Below are 23600 nucleotides of genomic sequence, written 5' to 3' on the forward strand. Positions count from 1 at the left end.
GTCTGCACACATTACCAAATGCCTCCTGGATTGGCAGGATGGCCCTATTGAAAACACTGCTCTAGAAGCATGGGGGGGTGGATAAATAATAGTATTAAGAATGAAAGAAACATTTTTTATTACCCTGTGCCCTACTGTCTTTGACCTAAAAGAAAGCTAAGTAAAGAAAGAGAACAGATGACAGAGGTCTTGCCAAAAACATAATCCACTCTTATTTTTTTAAATGGACTAAATTCAGTAAGTCAATGTTTTTGCATAACTTGGTGATCTGGATACTCTGTGTGGGGTGAGATCCTGGCATCCCTTGATGCCCATCCCAGCTTTCAGCCCTTTGAATAGTCTCCCCTAAGTGAGGGCATCAAGTCTTCCTGAACCCTAACTTGAAATGCCAGAAAAATGAGTTTGGAGGATATACAGGGACTAGTTTTTAGAAACAAAATCGGGGTTTTACAGATGTTTAAATGGGAATATGACAAACTGAGATAGGAAAGAGAAAGAGCCAAGAAGAGCCATTCTGTGGATTGCAGAGGCCCAATTGGTGAATCAACTGTTGAAGGTAGGCTTCACTGTTCAAAGCCTCCTCCCAGATGACCCAGGAGTCTCTGAGACCCAGGGGTTGGTTGATGAGTTCCTAGTCCTGGGATGGGAAACGTATCACACAGCTCTATCTTGGCTTAGCCCTGTCAGGAGAGAGAAGTGAAAGGTTCAGCTTTACTGAAGACTCAGGAACTAAGCAAAGTAGGAACCAATAAATTGAAAGATGATTCAGTATTGATCTATTGGTGTAGATATGTGGGTGCAGTAAGTGGTGTTGAATCATTTGCCGAAATAAAAACATGAGAAATCAGTAAATTGATAGAACTATCCAATTTTGTATTATAGGAAGGCATGTGGGAGAAATAAATGCTCATGTAGAAAAGCATGGCGCATGTGAGAGACGAGACAGCAGGAAAGGAGGCAGGGGATGTGAATTACAGGCTCTAATGAGAAGCAGCTGTGTGACTCTGGGCCAGTCATTGAAACTGTGAGACTTAATTTTTTCCATCTGTAAAACACAGGCTCAATCTATTCAAATGAATATTTAGGGAGTACTATGTACCCAGTACTTTTTTAGGCACTGAGAAAAATATCAGTAAACAAAACAAATAAAAATTCTTATTCTCATGTAGTTTACCTTATAAGGGAGGAGGAGGGTTGAAAGAGATAGTTTCATAAGCTCTTTTATTGCTAATATTCTGTAATCTAAATTCCTGATTGTGGGAATCAGAGAGTTTTAAAAAGTGTGGGGGGAGGTATATTCAGACTCTTCTAGTCTAGGGAATGCAGTCCTCTTTATAGATCGTCTAGTTCAGAAAACATTATAAAAGCAGTAACACCAAAGCATTCATAGTTACTTTTGGTTCAGTTAGGTTAAAGACGTTTAAAAGGCAAGTTCTCTATATTCTGGAAGATTATTCTCAAATGGCAAGACAGATTACAGTCTGGCCTGTCTCAGAGATGTTTGATTAAGAGCCAATGGATATATATTTCCCCTAGAAATGGTAACCCATGATACATATCTAGATATTGAATCTGACATATGCGTGTGGCATTTTCATTTCATTAACAGAAACTGCCAAGCAAGTTCAAGAAGTTCTATGCGGAGTTTGAAAGTTTAATGGTAAGTGACAGTGGCTTCTTTATTCTGTTCACTGTCTACATTAATCCAATTTCTGATTAGCTGAATTGAAGTTCTCATTTTGGAAATTTTATCTGTCCTTATATGACTTTAAGAAGTTTATGATCCCTTTTAGTGCTGCTAAAACAAGCATGTCTGACTAATGAATGGCACCCTCAGGAACTAACTTAAAGAGGACTTATGTCCCACATAAGGTCAATTTGTATAACTAAGAAAAGCAGTGTAATAGCGTCCTCTCCATCCAGCTCAGGTTGGCTATGGGTTGGAAGCTGCATTTTCCTTGGCTTGCCAAGATTATTTTTCCCCGTTGGCTGGAGGTGTTAGACAGAAAAGGAGTGAGTTGGGCTCGCCGGGAGTGATGGGCAGGTTTCAGAGGGCAAATCGGGACAGGGATCGGCTGTGCAGGGCAGAGAGTGAGTGAGCCAGACACCCAGGAAGAAGACGGGGCTTCAGGAAAAGGGGAATCTTGCAGTAGAGGTTTCATTTTTGCTTTCATAGGAAATATCTCCCCTTGGCCCCTGTATGCAAATCTCTTTTTCAAACAAGAAGGGGAAAAGAAAACTCCAAATTTTTTATGCCATAAGTGAAGTTATTTTAAAACACAAATCAGGCCAGGCGCAGTGGTTCATACCTGTAATCCCAGCACTTTGGGAGGCCAGGAAAGGTGGATTACTTGAGGTCAGGAATTCGAGACCAGCCTGGCCAACATGACGAAACCCCATCTCTACAAAAAATACAAAAATTAGCCAGATGTGGTGGCCTACACCTGTGGTCCCAGCTACTCAGGAGGCGGAGATGGGAAGATCGCTTGAGCCAGGAGGTGGCGGCTACAGTGAGTAGTGACTGGGCCACTGCACTCCAGCCTGGGTGACAGAGTGCGACCCCGTCTCAACACACACACACACACACACACACACACACACACACAAATACAAATCAATTTGTTTAACTAAGTCTACCTTTCTTTTGTAGCTATATTTGATTCAGAAATACAGTTGAGCCTTGAATAACTCAGGGGTTGGGGCACTAACACCTCCACCCCCATGCAGTAGAAATATTGAGTATAACTTTTTATTATTATTATTATTTTGAGTCTGGGTCTCACTCTGTCACCAAGGCTGGAGTGCAGTGGTGCAATCATGACTCATTGCAGCCTTGACCTCTTGGGCTCAAGCAATCCCCCGACCTCAGCCTTCCAAATAGCCTCCCAAATAATTTTTTATTTTTTAAAAAACAGGGGTCTCGGCCAGGCACGGTGGCTCACACCTATAATCCCAGCACTTTGGGAGGCCGAGGCGGGCAGATCACGAGGTCAGGAGATCAAGACCATTCTGGCTAACATGGTGAAACCCCGTCTCTACTAAAAAAATACAAAAAAATTAGCCAGGCCTGGTGGCAAGCACCTGTAGTCCCAGCTACTCGGGAGGCTGAGGCAGGAGAATGGCGTGAACTCGGGAGGCAGAGCTTGCAGTGAGCGGAGATCGCGCCACTGCACTCCAGCCTGGGTGACAGAGTGAGACTCTGTCTCCAAAAAAAAAAAAAAAAAGGGATCTCACTTGGGGTCTCACTATTTTACCCAAGCTGGTCATGAACTCCTAGGCTCAAGCGATACTCCTGCCTTGGCCTCCAAAAGTGCTGGGATTATAGGCATGAGCCAATCATGCCCAGCCCAAGCATAACTTTTGACTTTCCCCAAATTTAACCACTAATAGCCTACTGTTGACTAGAGGCCTTACTGATAACATAAAGTCAACTAACACATATTTTGTATGTTATATGTATTATTATGTACTATATTCTTACAATAATGTAAGTTAGAGAAAAAATGATAAGACAATTATAAGGAAGAGAAAATGTACTGACTGTTCATTAAAGGGAAGTGTATCATCATAAAGGTCTTCATCCTTGTCCTCTTCTTGTTGAGTAGGCTCAGGAGGAGGAGAAGGGGTTGTTGGTCTTACAGTGTCAGGGATGGCAGAGGCAGAAGAAAAGCCATGTATAAGTGACCCACACAATTCAAACCTGTGTTGTTCAAAGGTCAACTGTACCTGATTGTGGGGTGAAAGGCAGGTGTATTAGGAGGTAACAAAGGGTGGTGTATCTGTCACCAGTCATTACCATCATCTCTTTTTCTCTCCTAAGGACCCTTCAAGGAACCACAGGGCCTACAGGCTGACAGTAGCTAAGCTGGAACCTCCTCTCATCCCCTTCATGCCTTTGCTCATTAAAGGTAATCCTAATAAGATGCACAGGCCAAGCAGGTGATGAGTATTTGGGGAGGGAAATGAACAATACCTTGATAAGATTGATTACTTAGGGAAGAATGATCGATCCCATCCTTCTGCCTTCTTTGTCATCTCCTCTCAGTCCTGACTGTTCAGAAAGGGTCAGAAAGATGACTGGAGGAGCAGAGATCCATGATTTGGAAAACTTGTTAGTGAAACAGAAGATTAGTTTAAAAATTTTACTACTCTCAGGTGAAGTGATTTAAAAAGTTAAACACCTAGCATTAAAGGAACTATTAACAGCTTTTTTCAACTGTAGTGTTATGCAAATCTGCCAGCATAATCTAATGGTGCTATTGTGCTTTCTTAGTATGACATATTTCCATTAGTGATTAGAATGTGGCTTTTATTTCTTTACAGATATGACATTTACTCATGAGGGGAACAAGACGTTCATTGACAATCTAGTAAACTTTGAAAAAATGGTATGTGCAGTATTATAACCTTAACCACAATGTGTTTTTAAAATAAAATTTGCATTTTTTCTAATAAAGGAAATAATTTCCATATATGCTGCCCTGCTAAAAAGGTAGTTACACATAAAGGAGTTTTGAAATATTTGGTTCAAATTGGCTACCTATTCTATTCTGTCAGTTCTCTTTTGTGAAATTGAATAGTATTTGTGTGGTGGTTCACAGCAGCAGCTGGCTTTTATGCCGTGTGTTTCTTCCTTGGCAGCCTGTTGCTGAAATGCACAAATGTTCCTGAGTGACTTCCATGTTGTTGTTTTGCTATAACGTTTGTGGAGCTAGACTGCCCCAGGATGCCTTTGAAAGGTTTATCTGCCAAGCCTGACTTCAGTGCCCGTAGGTAAAAGGCAATTCTACGCCTTTATTATAGAGGACTAATCTAAATGTGTACTGCTTACCCCAATAAAGTTCGCTCAAGTTCAGAGAAGGAACATGAAAACCTTTATAATAAAAAGTTTTTAATCTTGTTTTTAACATTTTTATATATTTACTTATTGTTGGAGACAGGGTCTCTCATTGTCACCCTGGCTAAAGTGCAGTGTTGTGATCATAGCCTCACTATAGCCTCAAACTCCTGGGCTCAAGCGCTCTTCCTGCCTCAGCCTCCCTAGGTGCTGGGATTACAGGCATCAGCCACTGCGCCTGGCCTAGAAAATTTTTTTCACAACAGATGTGGAACTGGCACATATTCAGTATTTTCTAGCCACCCTCCTCCTAGTCCTTACTCCTAGCGGGGGGGAAAGCAAGGTTATCTGGCTTAAGTTACTTTGCAGTTTATTTTCTTATCTTCTGTGAAACAATAAAGCAGAGCATGCCAAAACCTTTCTTTAGCTGCATAGTGCATGCTGATGGAATGATCATTGTCTTCTGAATCCTTTGGCTGCAACCTGGTGGATGGAGTGTTGGAGTGCTTAATATCTCTGTGGGTGAGCATTTGCCCGGTCATGAATTGCAGTGTGAATGTGGCGCCGTGAGAAAAGCCGGGGACCTGGAGTCTGGGAGACATGAGGTTCAGTACACAGTTTCATCACTTTATACTTGTCCCTTAACTTCTCTGTGAGTCGGTTTCCCCAACAGAAAATGGGAATCATGCCCAGCCCATCTATCTCTGGATTATGTAAGCCATAAAGTGCTATAGACTTCTTATCAGAAAACTGTTATTCTAGTTGTTTCTTGAAATCAAGCTGGCACGTGTGACTCCAGGAGAATCTGAAACACCCTGCAGTCAGCCTGTAAGGATCTGCAGCATTCAGCCCGGGGAATGCGCTTATTGCAAAGCCCAGTCTGGTCAAGTGCAGCTATTGCTGGGCACTATGTCTTAAGCTTCTTAGGAAGTAACACGAGTACACACTCCTCAAAGACTCTTTGTACTAGATGGCAAGTATGTCCTCAGCAGTCTTCCTTCCCACCCCTCACACCAAAGGCAGGGTATGAACATCTTACTCCTGTGTCAATTTAATAATTGTTTGATCAAAGTAGACAACATTCTTTGCTAACTTATTAGTATGGATAATTAAACAATTCCTCTGACTTCCCAGAAAGAAAACCTGTTTTCCAGAAATGAAAGATTTGGCAAATGCGTAAAGAAACTTCTGGATTACTTATGCAGAAATGCAAACTGAGGATTGGCTAAGCCACCCATTTAATTATAAAATATACATGTGCACAGAGATGTAGAAGTCAGGGTTTCCTAAAGAGTTTACTGAGCTTTAGAAGTTTTGATGGCTATCATTCTCAGCAAACAGAGGAACAGAAAACCAAACACCACATGTTCTCACTCATAAGTGGGAGTTGAACAATGAGAACACATGGACACAGGGAGGGGAACATCACACACCAGGGCCTGTCGGAGGTTGGGGAGCAAGGGGAGGGAGAGCATTAGGACAAATACCTAGTGCATGCAGGGCTTAAAACCTAGACGGGTTGATAGGTGCAGCAAACCAGAATGGCACATGTATACCTACGTAACAAACCTGCACATTCTGCACATGTATCCTGGAACATAAAATAAAATAAAATAAAATAAATTTTTAAAAATAAGTTTTGATGGCCAAAGTTAACTAAATTGAACAAATAAGAACAGCAAGGTATGCAAAGCCAGCCATCTGTTGGGGTAGATAAAAGTTGTTTCATCTGAGTTTTGAGATCTTGGTGTCCCATCCGTAACCTGCAAGGAAAAGTCAAGGTCACATTCAGTGGATACTAGGAGAGTGCCATTCCTCTCCCCATTTCTGCACTTCATACCCAGAGCAGTGGATTCCTCCATGCCTAGCACTAAGGAAAGAGATCCTTCCCATCTTGCTCTCACAGAGTCCACTTTTGCTGAAAAGCAATGAATAGCTACGATAGCCAGCAGTTCAGCTTCATTAATGGAAACCTAAATTAATGATGGCATAAGCAAGATCAGCTTATTTCTTTCTCACTTAAAAGTTCAAGCAGGCCAGGTGTGGTGGCTCACGCCTGTAATCCCAGCACTTTGGGAGGCCGAGGCGGGTGGATCACGAGGTCAGGAGATCGAGACCATCCTGACGAACACAGTGAAACCCCGTCTCTACTAAAAATACAAAAAAAAAAAAAATTAGCCGGGTGTGGTGGCGGGCACCTGTAGTCCCAGCTACTCGGGAAGCTGAGGCAGGAGAATGGCATGAACCCAGGGGGCGGAGCTTACAGTGAGCCGAGATTGCACCACTGCGCTCCAGCCTGGGAGACAGCGAGACTCTGTCTCAAAAAAAAAAAAAAAGTTCAAGCAGGTATGGTAGACCTGCTACAGGATGCGATCAGGGCCCCAGGCTTCTCTCTTGCCAGTTTTACATCCACTTGGTTCAAGATGGCAACCTCCACCTCCACACTCCAACCACAGGGAAAGGGAAAGGAGAAGGTGAAGGCATGCTTCATCCCTTTTAAAGATAGGGAAGAAGTTACACTCACCACTTGCCTCATATTTTGTTGCTCAGAAACCTAGTCCCATGAAAGGAAGGCTAAAACATGAAGCCCTTATTTGAAGTATTCATATATCCCACTGAAAGTTAAGGGGTTTTATTCATATGAAAGAGAAGGGAAGAAAGGATATCAAAAGAGTACTGTAAGTTCTCTGTTCCAGCCACATGATACATTTTATCTCATGTGAGAAATTCTACCATAAGAAAGTTTGATTTTAGAATTGGCCCTCCAGCTGGGTGTGGTGGCTCATGTCTGTAATCCCAGCACTTTGGGAGGCTGAGGTGGGCAGATCGCCTGAGGTCAGGAGTTCAAGGCCAGCCTGGCCAACATGGTGAAACTCCATCTCTCTAAAAATACAAAAATTAGCCAGGTTGATGGCGGGCACCAGTAATCCCAGCTACTTGGGAGGCTGAGGTAGGAGAATCGCTTGAACCTGGGAGGCAGAGATTGCAGTGAGCCGAGATCACACCACTGCACTCCAGCCTGGATGACAAGAGCAAGACTCCATCTCAAAAAAAAAAAAAAAGAATTGTCCTTCCACAAGTTAGATGTTACCAGAAAATGAAATGAAATTTCAAAATGATTTGATTATGTTTTCTAAGCAAGGTGCATGTTGCCAGGTTTCCAAAATTTTCTCCCCATAAACTAACCCACCCCTACCCCCATATCACCACCACTACCATCAGTGGCTGCTGTTGTTACTGTGGGTCTTGGGAAAGGCTACATTTTCCTTTTCAGGTTGATGTCAATGCCACTTCCCAGTCATCCATCGTCAAGGCCCAGGTGCTGAGCAGAGCTGGCAGCCTCTGTGGGGCTGGTGGGCTGGGTCCCCAGAAGGAGCCCCTGCCAGGGGCCGAGGTCACCAGGGTAGCCAGGAATACAGATACCTTTTCTTGGTGGCAGCATTGTAGAGTCACAGCAAACCACCATGCCAACTCTAAGTGTTTTTATTTTGTACATCTTCATTCAAAACATTTCTCTGAAATAGAACCAATCTCCTACATCTTCACCCTTGAGGTATGAAATAAGGATTAGAGAATTTGTTGCTTATTGGTTTTCAGGATTTATGGGTATGAACAAAAGAGAATTCACACCCTAATCCTGATGCCAAAAAAAGCAGACATTCTTTTATTTGGGGGGAACATAAAGGAATATTCAAAAAAATGTTTGAATAAAGTCCTTCCTAGTTCTATGGCATACATGAATATTTATAACATTTAGGAGGTAGACTAGCATGGATTAGAGGATAATATGCTGGCCACCTGCCACTATCCCAGGCTGCATAAAGCATGCTGATAAGAGATTGGTTCTATTTCAGACATACCCATATTTAGGTATATTTATTTATAAATATGATTTTTAAGGTAGTCATTTTATTTGGAATGAGAAGCATAGGGCAAACTTTTATACTTCTGTAAACATTACAGAAGCTAATTCATTAAGGAAGAGAAATGTTTTGAATCCTTTTATTTTTGTATCACTAAGCATGTCATTACATAATTAGCAACAATATGTTTTCTATCACCAATAATATTATTATAAGATTCATGGAGAGAGCACTTCACTTGTTACCTCAATCTATGGAAAAAAAGAATCTCTAAGTAAAAATCTACGTGTTCAAGTCCACCCTATTCCCAGAGCTCTCCAACACAAAAGAAATCTATGGGAGTACTTTGAGAGTTTACATCTTTGTATAGATTTCCCAGGCCAGGCTAAATGCAGATTTCCAAACGGTATGCTTCAAAACAACATAATGTGTGGAGTGTCCAGGCAAAAGAATTTACTAAGAAATATAAACATCTAGAAAGTAACCCTGGGCCTTTAGATTACCTGCAGTTGGGAAGAGAAAACATAAACACATGAAATATTAAAAATCCACATAAGATATAAAAACTAGGTCACAATAGTAATAAAAGATGTCAGAAAGCAAAATGCAGGAAAGAAAACTTCATGCAGTTTTATCAATGGAAAATAAAACCACATTATATGCAGTGACATAATATCAGAAGATCTAGACTAGCCCTAAGCACCTGTCCAGCCTCATCTGACACTTTGTCTTCTCTGTATCCAGTCCAAGTTGGTGAGACTGACCTGCCTTCTTCTCCTTTTGGCCTCAGGGTTTTTTGTACTAGCTGTTACCTTTGCCTGAAATTGTCTTCCCCCAGTTGTCTGCTGTCTGGTTCCTCGTCAGTCAGGCCTCAGCTCACAGGTCCCCTCCTCCAAAATAGTCTTCCCTAACCACCCTTGTGGGAAGGGAAGAAGATCACACATCTTCCCTGATCTCCCCTCCTCCCTGTGGTGCTAACTGTGCCTGACCTCCGTGTAACACCGTTCTGCGACACCCAGCACTCTCCAACACAACCTTGCCTTGATAGGGGTTTCACAGCCTGGGATTATCTTCCTGCCTCTTCAATGTCTTCCCTACCAGAATGTAAGTGCCCTGGCCCAGGTATCTGTTTTGTTCACTGATATTTCTCCAGCACCATAAAAATATCTGACGCATTATTTCCCCAGCACCCATAAAAATGTCTGGCACATCGTAAGTATGCAAGAAGTACTTGTTGAATAAAATGTAATGTTTCAGTGTTGGGCTTAGTGCACGAAAGCATTTTTCAAATATTTTATGTAATAAATCCAAAAGTGTCTTCTATTTTATTAGAAAATTGGATGAATCAACTGGGCACAGTGGCTCACGCCTGTAATCCCAGCACTTTGGGAGACTGAGGCGGGTGGATCATGGGGTCAGGAGTTCAAGACCAGCCTGGTAAAACCCCATCTCTACTAAAAATACAAAAATTAGCCAGGCATGGTGGCGGGCGCCTGTAATCCCAGCTATTCAGGAGGCTGAGGCAGGAGAATTGCTTGAACCCAGGTGGCAGAGGTTGCAGTGAGCCGAGATCGTGCCACTGCACTCCAACCTGGGCAATAGAGTAAGACTCCAAATCAAAAAAAAAAAGGGAAAGAAAATTGGATTAACCAAAATGTCCCAAAGCATTTTGCATAACTGAGACATTATAAAAGATGACTTTCCCTTAGCCTCTGTTCCTAACCAGACATTATTCTGTCCCCCCTCCTCCCTGTGGTGCTGTGTCTGTCCTCCAGTGTCCCTCCCTGAGTACATAGAGGTATACATGCTCTACACGTGCCTGGAAAGGCACCTGAACTGTCTTCTCCCATGGTCATCATATATACCACATACCGTAAGCATCATGCATGTGTTACACATGCGTATCTGCATGTCATACACCTCTTGGATACTAAAGATCTGTAGGGAGACCGGACTCAGGGCTCCTCCTCAATGATGCACACAGTGAAGGCTAGTTCAGCTTCAATTCCCTTTTATCTCTGGTCCTCACTGTGCCTGGCCATTTGGTTGCTATCACAGGCACAATCTTTGTTAGGTGAGACACTGTGTATTTCTGGATCTTGTGAAAAAAAAAATTCTTGTCCCAAATATGTGGAGGTCTGAGTGAAATAATCAAATGGTGTAAATGTGGTTTTACACATGCTAAGCAAGGAGTAATTAACAAAGGTCCTATATTTGATAGGCATAGGTCTGGAGACAGAATCAAATCGGTAGAGGCAGAAATGTAAGAAAAAGCAATCTGGCAAACATTAAGAGCAAGGATGGTACAGATCTTAAGGGGCAACAGAAGGAAGATCAAAACTGTTGAGGGCAGGCATTTAGAAGAGGCCTGACGGTGAGGAGCCGCTTCCTGAGGGATCTGAGCAGAGGCAGAATAATAGGCTAAGAGGAAGGCTATTGTGGCCGCTGTCTGGGAGCGGGAGGTCCTAGAGTGGTACCAATGAGGTGGCGTGGCCTGGAGGGCCTGCCGGTCAGAACTTGAAGAATGAAGTCTTCTCTTCCGCAGTGGGAGAGCAAAGGGGGAACTTGGACTAGGGCACAAGAGTCAGTGCAAGCTGGCTAGGAAGGTGGGGGCAGCCACAAAGTCCTGGTAGGCTATGTCATGTCTTTATAGGAGTGAAAGTGGAACTTGGCTGGCCTGCTCCTGAGGGGAGGACACCACAGAAGGGTGACGCCTGCCAAGAGCCAGGCCGCAAAGGCCCAGTCTGAGAACAAGGTACCTCTGACACCTCAGCGGACTCAAGGGAAATTCCCTGCATCAGAGCTTGAGGGAAATTTGTGTTTGGGATGCCGGCCTCAGAGCCTCTGGCTTGTGCCAGGCCGAGGTGCAGACAGTGGTCACCCCTTCCTCTGGATGCTGTCTTTGTACTGGTCACTCTGATGCAGGCTGACCCCTAAATTGGGGCTCAGCTGGAGAGAGTTCTTGGCTTTCCTAAGGAAGGAATTTAAGAGCGAGCTGACAATGAAAGACAGCAAGTTCATGAGAGGAACAGTATACAGGAAAACAAGTGCTCTGTAGACCGAGCAGCGCTGTCTTATAGGCAGGGTAGCACAGAGTAGCACTCACAGAGTGCTGGCCGGCTCTATTTATACCTACTCTAGTTACATGCTAACTAAGGAGCGGGTTTTTCACAAACTTTCTGGAAAAGGGGCCAGGAGTTCCTGGAACCATCTAAGGTAGCTTCCCGGTCATTGCCGTGGCATTTGTAAACTGTCATGGCGCCGGGGGGCGGGAGGGGGGGTGAGTATTGTCTTATGCAAATGCATTATAATTCCTAGTCCTAGCTGGTTTGGGCTGGTTTCTTTGCTACATCAGCAGGGTGGTGACCAAGGCTGGGAAAACAAATCCTGCTGATCTTCTACCTCCACTCTGCAACGCAGGCCCCAGGAAGGACATCTACTTCTGTGCCCCTCTGTTTTCAGCTCTAAAGAAAAATAGACGCGTGACATAGTCACAGAGTTCTTCACTCACCACATCATTTTTCCTTTCTGCACTTCCCTCCTCGAGTGCATGTCCTGAGGGGAATTCATCAGCTTTCAGTTGGGCCCATCTCTAAGCCCTGTAGGCCACGAACTGTAGGAACATATTCATTTTTGCACATAAGCTCCGAAGACCTGTACTTAGGATTAGTCCCAAGAAACATCAGTTTAAGCGTGGCGACAGGGGGGTTCAATTTGTTCCCCTACACGGATCCGGAGCGCCTTCTAAAGGAGGCGCTCTAATGTGGGGCATGTTTGCCCCACATTTACTCCTGAATTACCAGTTGCTGTCTTAATGAGCTATTTGCTCAAGGGAATGTGTCATAAACCTCAGGCTGGCTACTGGGGAAAAAAAGATGAGAATCTGTGCTTTGGAGTAATCAGACACTCCCCCACTCCGGCCTGGCGTTATAGAAAGTTGCCTGGCCAGCTCCAGGCAGGCCAACCTGCTCTGGCAGGACCATGAAGCGTAGGGTGTAATTTTTGGTTTCACCCCTGCTGCAGCAGTTGGATAATGAACCCTATATCTCTTTAACCTTTGTTTCTGCCAGGCTAGACTGCGAGCACCAATGAATAAACAGCTGTCTACCGTCAAAAATAACATAGGCTGAAGTTTGTGGAAAGATAGACTCTAACTAGATGGTTTTAGTTTTTAAAATCCTCCACTCTGGTCCAAGAAATCAACTGTACGTGCACAGAGCAGAAAGCTGCATCCACAGCAGCTCAGCAAAGGAGGCTGAGAGGTTTAATTCATGAATACTTCAACAGATGTCAGTGGCATGACTTCTTTTTAACTGTAGGCCCAGTATAGCATCATCTAGATCAAGGAAAGAAGAAAGATCATAATTTCTCTGCACTTTACAATTTGTTTAGTCTAGGGCACCATACTAGAGACGGTTTGGAAGAGAACCAAAACTGTCTTATGAAGAATTGTTGAAGAAATTGAGAATATTTAGGCTGAACAAGAAAAGATCTGGGGGTGTGAAGATATCCATAACAGTTATATCCAAGTATTTGAAGACTTGTCCTGTTAAAAAGAAATTAAACATGTTTGCTGTTGGGTCATTGCCGTGGCATTTGTAAACTGTCATGGTGCCCGTGGGAGTCTTATGCAAATGCATTATGAGCTCCAAGGATAAATGAGCGAAAAGTAAAAGGAGAAAGACTTTAACTCAAAATGATAAGTTTTAATAATCAGAGATGTCTAACAATGAAACAGGCTATTTTTGGAGGTAATGAGTTACTCATTGCTGGATGCATTCAAACAGTGGGAGAGCCACTGTTTATAGGCAGGCTGTAGAAAAAGCATTATGCACTCTGGAGATGGTTCAAGGAGGTGACTCCTGAAGTCTCTTTCAGCAACTCAGGAGAGTGCCTTGTAGTTGGGTGTAGTTGTCAGTAACTGCTTAATATTACATGTGTTAATGGGTGCAAAAGGAGGTGAAGTTAAAATATTAAGTTAACCCTTCTTTGGCCTTGTGAAAGCATTTGTAACTATGCATTGACCGGGAATGCTAGTTAGATTCACACATCATCACTGTGGGTTCACACCATTAAACATTATTGTCCGGACCTCACAAAGGAAAAGAATGGACCTCGCTGTGAAGCCAGATTTGGATTTCGAAGTTAAACTGAAGTTATCTTTGAGAACAATTAAAAAGGATACGTCAAAATTAAAACCATTGTTAAAATTAATCAAAGATTTAGAAAGGTAGAATGAACTTCAGGGCTGGAAATTACTGATTTAAACAATTGTTCTCACATTTTAAACTACATGAGCTAAAAATTATGAAGTCTCAGAGTATAGCTTTAAAGAGTAGCATAAAACCAAAGTCAGAATGAAATGTTTTAGCTTTCAAAACTAAAAAGCAGAACAATTACTCCCTACAAAATGGTATAGGAAGAGGTTTCTGACCCCTGCTAATTGTTTTATTATTCTTCAGAGGGGCATACTGGCAGCATTTCCCAGGGTTTTCGGTAATTACACTCCATTCAATATCTGAAGAATTACAATAATTCTACATGGAATATACTTGTGCCCTTCAGATGCAAAGCCTTTAGAGAAGTGAAAAAACAACTTAAAAGTAAATTAGCAGGGAAGTTATCATAGTTACTATTTATTTCACGGCTCCATATATCAAGGGCTAATTATACATTGTACGTTACATTTTCTGGGAGGGATTTGTGATATGTTTCTCATGCTGATCAACAGATGGATGTGTCAGTTTTCACGATCTTTGATGAAGTGAAGTTCTAACTTTTCCAATTGCCTCTTTGTGTGCGAAATTATCCAATGCAGGTACATGTCACTTCAGGCTTGCTAGAGTCCTCAAAGCAGTAGTATTCAGTGAGGTATTATGATGCTTGCAGATAATATATTTGTAAGGCCTTGACTCATCTATGATTTTTTTTTACACTATGTAAGCTTTCTCAAAGTCATTTTCTTATACTTTGGCAAGCCAAGGGTCCGTGAGAGAAGAAAGGGTTGACTAGAATTACATAGCTGCTCAGAGATCGGGGAGTCTCTTTCCCTGGGTGGAGCCTTATCAATTTTCTGCTAGTGTTGTAATTAATCTATTATCTCCACAGGACCCCCTTTAGAGCCTGAGCAGTAAAGTGTCCTGAAACATACATAGTGACCAGGAGTGCCAGCTATTGTTCAAATACCGTGACATTCTGGCTAAGAAATGGAGCGTAGGTCTCATCAGTGTTTTTCCCCAGGGGATAGGAGTCTCTGTTTCTGTCCATTTTCTTTTCTCTTTTCTTTTGTTTTTAATTGAGCTCAGCACAAAAGATTCCCTTTTAAGTCTTTATTGCAACCAAAACTTTACAAAGAAGTTAAGATGATCACTTAGTGACCAAATTTTAAAAGGTCAAATCAATTATAATCTGTCCATTTGGTTGAATACATGCTTTTTAAAAAATGTTTTAAAATGCAAATGGCATGGAAAATAGTCACAATGCAATGTGAAAAATTTCAAATCAAAATAAAATATGTATGTACTATATGAATTCAAATCTTTTAAAAACATGTTTTTATATATTTTTAAATATAAGAAGGCTATATGCCGAAATATTAACAAGATTACTCTGTGAAGTAATATTCTAAGTGATTTTTACTTTGCTCTTAACATTTTCTGTATTTTCTGAATTTCTTTTTTTTTTTTTCTTGAGACGGAGTCTCACTCTGTCGCCCAGGCTGGAGTGCAGTGGCGCGATCTCGGCTCACTGCAAGCTCCACCTCCCAGGTTCACGCCATTCTCCTGCCTCAGCCTCCCAAGTAGCTGGGACTACAGGCGCCTGCCACCACGCCCGGCTAATTTTTTGTATTTTTAGTAGAGAGGGGGTTTCACCGTGTTAGCCAGGATGGTCTCGATCTCCTGACCTCGTGATCCACCCGCCTCGGCCTCCCAAAGTGCTGGGATTACAGGCGTGAGCCACTGCACCTGGCCTGTTTTCTGAATTTCTAAGATGTGTATATGTTAGTGTTATAATCAGAAAGGAGGAAGAAGGGAGGGAAGGAGGGAATCAAATCATCAGGATTAACATTAAAATGCAAACTTTTGCTGGAAGATTAGAGAGGTCAGTAATACAGAGTGTGTAGCAAAAATGTGAAGGTAGAATATTTTGACTTGCTGTTCAGCCAATAAAATCTCATACCTCATTAGTGAGTCTTATTTACTGTGAGGAACTTGATAAGCTAACCCTTCTCCACATCTAGGATAGTTACAGATTCTCTTACAAATTCATGGCAACCTCAAGAAAGGATGGTGAAAAAGCACTAATGTACAGTCTCAGGCATGATAGATGTTTTTTACATCATGGGGAATATGCCAACAATTATGAGAGTTATGCCATTAATATTCCTTACCTGAAAATGCCTTGTATGTATGTGGGTACCCCTTTGAAATAATTAAACAAGTTATACATCAGCTAGTTGCCTTCAGATAGTCAACATCTCAGAACATGTCACTTCTCATGGTACCAAGTATTGCAGAAATGGTTTGTTTTCCTTTTTGGATTGTACTCTACGCTTACTTGAATTTCTATCTTTCTTTTTTCTATATTCCTTTTAGCGCATGATTGCAAATACGGCCAGAACAGTGAGATACTACAGGAGCCAACCCTTCAGTAAGTTAAGTGCTGCCACCTCTTACAATGTAGATGTTGGTGATTAAGGTCTTCTTAATGAGGCCATTGAGACACCCTTGGAGCCTGGGAAATATCTGACTGTGTCAGAGACACTTTGGACCATGAATTCCATGAGATAGGGGCCTTGAGTTTAAAGATTTTTTTTGCTGTTTTAAACTAGAACATATTTACATTGTTGTGAAACTAGAAAATCACCATAGGAATATTATTTTGTGAATGAATTTAAAGAGATTTAATTTGCTCTATCCAGTGCAGCTGGAGACAACTAAAGTACGACTGCCAACAAATCCTGCCTCAAACCAACTCTCTTTATGACTCATTGCTCCATGTTGAGAAACTCACATCAGCCCTTGATGACTCAGTTCAGTCAATTATAAACCAGGAAAGATAATATTTATTGTCTTTCAGGGTGTTGCAAGAATGCATTAATGTTTATAGCACATTCGTAAAAGGTCCAAAAACAGGATTTCATATTATATTTCTAGTATTCCCACATGAATTTGAGGTGCTCTTTTAAAATCTGAACATCTATCACAAGAACTGGTATAATACTTTAATATAAAAAAATTACTAATAATAAATAACAATTTTAGTCTGTTGGGAGTTAAGTTGCATCATAGCACCAGATGGTCATACTAGACCAGTGCTACTGTTTCTTCTGGGCTGGGACTTTGGTGGTGGGGGTGGAGCTTTGGCTCCCTCAATCTGGTCTGGAAATGAGAAGGTGAACACTAAAGGTTTTTGCTAAGCTCATTGTATGACTCACTTGAAGAAATTTATCTCATTAACTCAATATGATACTATGACATAGACATGAATCTGAGGCTACCAGTACCGTCTCCTCCAATAAACCGAGTGCTAAGAGACTATGATGTTCTTGTTTTATTAGTCAGAGTTGTTTGTTCTTCCTAGAGCAGGACTGGCTCATGGCCAGATTTGCTAACATGGGACACCAGAACTACTAAATGTTCATTTTTTAATGAATAGGGAGGAAAAATATAAGAAAAATGACATTGATTTGGGGAGCAACTGATTCAAATGACTGTGCCTTCTCTGACTTCCAAAATGTGAATAGTCTTGCAATATCATCAACTATTCTTATGTGGATTCAGCCAGAATTAAAGTGTCTCATGTGTTTTCATCTATTAATTTACGTTGTGTTTAAAGATGTGATCATAAAGCAGTTGTACAAGTGGAAACAAGAATAGATAAGTGACACCAGTTACAACCGGAGTTTATAATCCCAAATCCAGCAGCGGGGATAAAAGGGGACCCTGAAATTATATGCCAAATCGTGTGTGCCTGAGGGGGTTTATAGCCTTAAGAAGGTTTTCAGTGAGGCTCAAGAACCATAAAATAATATGCTTTGTTTTATGAGCTTCTTTGGAAGTAAATCTTGCATTCTTCTATGTCACCTCCTAGAGAAGCCAAGGGGAAAATGTATTTAAAAAGAAAAAACTCCACTGCATTTGTTGAAGTTATCAGTAACTGCTGGTAAACAACAGCTGCTCAGCTCTGAAGTCAACAATCTATAGATAAAGCTATAGGAATAGATTCACAAACACTGTGGGAATGTGTACAATGTAATTACAGTATATTGTACGTGTAGAGTACACTGCCAGTGAGAAGCAGAGGAAATTAAACACAATGTGCTCTGCAGTTCGCTGTGGTATTATTTCTATGTGATAATTATACTGATGAGTTTCTTCTCACAGGGGGCAGGGGCATGTATGTCTTCTCTCTGCTTTTCTGCCTTCAGACCTGCAACACTCCCCTTCACCCCTTGTGCAGATGGCATTCTAATTGTCTTTGGGAGTGCTGTGTGGATCTAGCAGGAGCAACCAGACTGCAGAAGGCAGTGTACTGTGGTGGAAACCCCGGTCAGGAGCCAGGGTCTGGCTCTGCCACTCCGGGTGTCCCCTTAGACCAGAGGCCCTACCCAGTGATGCTTGAAATGGAGGTGGCCCACAGAGGTGTTGGGTCTAAAGAGAGCATTTTTTTCCCTTTTATTTTGAAATAATGTCACCATTTTAAAATTGGGAGAATTCACGAAGAAGAAATCCAGATTTCCCATTTCTTAACAAAAAAAAAAAAAAAAAAGGAAGATCTGGCAACTCTAGGCACAGATTCCCCGTGGCAGCAACATGCAGAAGCCAGGTCATCACTTCCAGAGGGACCTGTGTTTCCAGTTCACCACCTTCTGGTCTGGCTTTCCTTATTCATGTATGTTCCCTGCGAGGGCTGAGTGCATTGGCTCATCATTCAGCCCTGATCTTCATTAAATTGGTTAACCTCAGTTGCTCACATGCTTGGGATGTGCATCAGAATAGAATGGTAGCTGAGTTTTCAGAGCAGATAGCATTAAAGAATCAAACGTCTAGCAGAAGTCATAACTTCAGCCTGTGAGTTGGGTTTTTTCTGAATATGGACAGTCTCTAAGAACATACAGTCGGTATAGTAATGCTGTATACTGTGTGCAAGTAAAGAGGGGAGTCAGGACTCTGTAGTCTCACTGGCTTGCTTCAGTTTGGCCCAGATGTTAAGCGCTTTTGTGAGGGGCTAATAAAAACTGTCTTTTGACATTAGTCTTCATCTGGATCAAAGGAGGCAGAGACACAGAGTGTGAGACACAGAGACCTCTGGAAAGGGAAACAATTTTAATCTATACCCAGGGGCTATCAGACACATGCTTCCCTTTTAATTTGGTGCCATTTTTTTTTTACAACGTGCAATTCAAAGGAGAATGATCAAAAGAGGTGATTCCAGGGAAGAAAAGAAAATTGGAGGGTAGGAAGGAGGAGATGGAACAACCAAGTGGAAACGTTTCAATGATTGTGGTGTGTTGAAAGGTCTTGAGGGAACCCAGGAACCTATGATAAATGTAATAAATAATTGGAGAAGTAAGATTGTATCTTATATACATATATTACACAATGCCAATTCTGCCCTTTCCTCTTTCAACAGATCCTGATGCAGCTCAAGCTAATAAGAACCATCAGGATGTCCGGAGTTATGTACGGCAATTAAATGTGATTGACAACCAGAGAACTTTATCACAGATGTCACACAGATTAGAGCCTCGTCGACCATAGACATTTCAAATGCCCAAAGCAACAGTTTGTCTCCAGTCCACAATCTTTCAAAAATGCCATTTATGCTACTACTGACTGTATTGCCACTAGAGAATTCTACAAAACAAGCAAAAACACATCCTGAGACACCTCAGGGCTGCATTCAGCTTACCAGCTACCTAGCAAGAGAAGGAATTATTTGACATGCCTAAAGCTTACACACTCTAGCTTAGGAATCCCCAGTTTGTGGCTACCCTGTTTCATTTCCACTTGTGCCATCTTCTTTGCTGAAGTGTTGAATAAGGCCCACGTGAAGAGTTTGGTAGAAATAGCCTTGTCAAGAGAACTAGCAAGCCCCTGACATTTTTTTCTAAGAGTGTTTATGGGATGAGATGTGCTACAAATGGGATAGATTTGGATAAAATTTTAACTCAACATCTTGATTTGGAGCCTGGGGTTTCGGGAAGGTGTTGAGGAATCTATAGAAGTCCAAATTATAGGTTGTATTCTTCCATCTTCATTGTCTTACCTCTGAAGGAATAGAACCTGACCACATTATTATGAAACATTATGGCTGTTTATGTAATTTAGGGAGGACTGGTCTGTAATTTCTGAATGTATATAGAATAATATTTATGTTTACAATGTAACTTTTCAAAATTTACAAATCAGGATTATATACATAAGAATTCCACTAAGAAATGCCAAGATTCTTAAATTTGCCAGCGTTAAAGTAGAAAATAACATTTCAGAAGAGCACAATATGCATAAAACATTTTTCAAAATTGAAATATTTTCCTGGGCATTAAAAACCTTTACTATTGGCTACAAATTTATTGTACCTGATGAAAACATATTTTCTGGACTTAAATGTTATTACAAATATCTTAATTTTCAGTAATTGTTTTGCACTTTCAAAGATTGTAAATAGTTCATTCAATCAATGGTATGGAGTTATTTATTTGCTACATAATAGATACTGTGCCAAATAATTACTTTTTATTTATTTTATTTAGTACGTAATTTTGAAGTACATTTTTTCCTGTTTTCACAATTAGACTACATTTAATGTGTAGGAATTGTATGTATGTATATCTTCTGTAAATAACATCTAGTATCTTCACTAAATATAATTGTCGACAAGAAATGGTTGTGTTCATCTCAATTCCTATAATATGAAAGGGGTAACCATTTGGTATGGTGGGGTGTTGGATCTTTTAATGACACAAAATACACATATTATAAAATTCATTCTTTTAAAGTGCAGAATCCAGTGATTTTTAGTATATTTACAAAGTTGTATAGATAACCATCATCACTATCTAACTTCAGAACATTCTCCTCATCCCTAAAAGAAACTCTGAACTCATTAGCAGTCACTTCTTCTTCTCCTCTCCCTCCAACCTCTGGCAACCACGAATCTGCTTTCTTTGTCTTCAGATTTACTCTGGATGTTTCATATGAGTGGAATCATACAGTATGAGGCCTTTTGCGTCTGGTTTCTTTCACTTAGCATAATGTTTTCAAGGTTGACCATATTATAGCTTGTACCAGTACTTCATTTATTTTTATGGCCATGTAATATTCCATTCTATAAATAGACTACATTTTGTTTATCCATTTATCAGTTGACAGACATTTGTCTGTTGTGTTCACTTTTCGGCAATTAGGAGCATTGCTGCTCTGAAGGGGCACTGGATTTTAGAGCTCCCTTGTGTGGGGCCTCATGCCATTTCTCAGTGATTTAAGTACTTAGCAAATATTTGATGAAGAGATATCCAAAATTCTTTAAATTCCAGACATGCCTCTATTTTTTTTAATAAGTCAGCATTTTCCAGAGTGTGTTCCAGCCTATTCTAGTCTCACAAGTTCACATATTGTCCCTCCAAAAACAAACACACACATACAAAGCCAAAAACAAAACCAAGATTCTATCTTCAAATAAATGTGGGGACCACTGCATAATATACCCCATTCATAGAAATGATTCCCAGTATTCACTCACACTGAAGGCTCTGAGAAGTCCTATTGTAATCCCTTTTAACATCCCACAATTAAAGTCCACTTTCAGAAATGCCAAAGCAGGCAAATGCCTCTCTGTGTTCATTCATATAAAATTTCAGGGTCCCCAGAACCAGAGGCGGTGTTTTCTGCGGTATTACACCTGCCTCTGGAGGCAAGTGCAGTGTCTGGGATTTACTAGACAATAAAAGAAGGTCACTGAATAAATTTTCTTGAAATCATTATCGTTCAGTATTTCACTATCTGATAGACCTCAATGTCAGCTGCAAAGGTTCCACTTTTATATATTTTCCTTTAGATATCCTTTATAGTTTCTTTTCTAGATAATTTACAAAGATGATGAACGAAGCTGGGAGCCCGTTCCTGGGGCATCCTTGCTCTTGTTTTGCTTGTCTTTATTCCTACTTTACTGAAAGCTAGCATTCTATATACAGCAGCACTTCTCCCCAATTCCATGGTGAATGCCAACTTACGATCTTATTTTAATATAGTTTCAACATTATTCAAAATTAATACATATTCCCCATGTATGTTCCCCTTGTTCTTCCACATGAGAATAACTTACTGTACTTAATAAAGATAAGACATTTTTAAGTATTTCTAGCTTCTTTGAAAATGCATCAAACTCCATTCTTGAAGGTAGCAGTGGTAAAATAATAGAATTCGCACTCTAAAAATGTAGAGTAGTAGCCAAGCAACCCTTCCTGAGGCAGGAGATGCAGTTAATACTTTAAAACTTGCAAACAAGCCAAAAGAAAATGAGATGCCTACAGGGTCACAAGAAGGATAATGAGGTTTGCTGGAAGATGTGAAAAAGAAGAATGTTTTTACCAAAAGCGCCTGTAGAAAATTATACATTTGAGTGTTTAACATACCTATTTAGCAAGGTCACTGGCATAGTTTATGGGAGCTAAGCTCTTCCGGCAATTTTTGAATACCATGCAGGTTAAATATACTCCTCCTGAATTCAGTGGCATTTCCTCTGAAGGTATGAATGCAGATCAATGACTACCAGTGTGAGAAAATTAAACAGAGTGTCATTTTAGTTTCAAATTGTGCTCCGAATAATAATAAAAAAAGCCTGGAATATGCAGTGTGGTAAAATGAACCCCTACCTCGAATAGCTTTCCTTTTACTGTCAATCTAGAATGCATTACATCTCTTGCTTTAGAGTAATCTTAATCTGTCCTACATTGAAAATTGTGGTATTAGATGAACAGTTACCTTATCCCTTACTTCTAAACTGGAAAAAAGCCTTTAACTTAGGTATTGTTAGTCACTTTTCTATTCATTCATTCATTCATTTTCATTCATAGAAAATAATGACTGAAGTGCTTACTGAGTGCCCTCTGTGGACACAGAATTCAATGGTGAGGACAACTAGAGAAGGTCCCTGTTCAGGTAACCAAAAAATGATGTGAACAAATAAATAGAAAAATGCTTCCTGCTGGGCGCAGTGGCTCACGCCTGTAATCCCAGCACTTTGGGAGGCCGAGGCGAGTGGATCATGAGGTCAAGAGATCAAGACCATTCAAGAGATGTGGTGAAACCCCGTCTCTACCAGAAATACAAAAATTAGCTGGGCATGGTGGTGCACGCCTGTAGTCCCAGCTACTTGGGAGGCTGAGGCAGGAGAATCACTTGAACCTGGGAGGTGGAGGTTGCAGTGAGCCGAGGTCACGCCATTGCACTCCAGCCTGGCAACAGAGTGAGACTCTGTCTCAAAAAAAAAAAAAAAAAAAAAAGAATGCTTCCAAGGAAGGATATGGTGTTGCAAGAGCATGTAATAAGGGAATTTAACCTGATCGGAGGCAAGGAAGTGTTCCCTGTGAAAGTGACAGTTGAGCTGAGCTCTGAAGGATGTGAGTGCTGGCTAAGACAGAGGAGGAGAATGTGTTCTAAGCAGAAAGTAACATTGGCAATAAGGGACAGCAAGCTCACTGTGGCTAATGGAGATCGAAGGAGACAGCATTTCCAGATGTGCTGGAGAGCTAAGAAGGGCTCAGAGCATGTAAGGCCTATGCAGACCTTTGAGTAGGAAGTCATTGAAGAGCTTGAGGCAGGGCGTTGCATTTCCAATGGTGAGCCCTTGAACGGCAGGGCCACTGCTTTCTGTGTACCACACTGCCCAGGACA

At 41.2% G+C, this 23600-nt stretch overlaps 1 protein-coding gene across 28 annotated transcripts in view; it reads left to right on the forward strand.

Annotated features, from left to right (window-relative positions):
- RAPGEF4 (Rap guanine nucleotide exchange factor 4) overlaps nt 1-20589 on the forward strand; it is a 317576-nt gene extending 296987 nt beyond the window's left edge. For 18 of the 28 annotated variants that reach the window (XM_047443030.1, XM_006712205.4, NM_001375864.1 and 15 more), the window contains 5 exons: nt 1610-1660; nt 3821-3908; nt 4324-4388; nt 16296-16350; nt 19336-20589. In XM_047443030.1, the coding sequence (XP_047298986.1) occupies nt 1610-1660; nt 3821-3908; nt 4324-4388; nt 16296-16350; nt 19336-19463 (387 nt within the window). In that variant the 3' untranslated portion in view covers nt 19464-20589. Of the gene's footprint in view, nt 1-1609; nt 1661-3820; nt 3909-4323; nt 4389-4641; nt 5254-16295; nt 16351-19335 lie in introns of those variants that run through there. The other 10 variants (NR_164739.1, NR_164740.1, NM_001375870.1 and 7 more) reach the window with 6 other exon arrangements.
- Nucleotides 20590-23600: the final 3011 nt, after the last annotated feature.

The sequence above is a fragment of the Homo sapiens genome, chromosome 2 (genome assembly GCF_000001405.40).
Source record: "Homo sapiens chromosome 2, GRCh38.p14 Primary Assembly".
Classification (NCBI taxonomy): domain Eukaryota; kingdom Metazoa; phylum Chordata; class Mammalia; order Primates; family Hominidae; genus Homo; species Homo sapiens.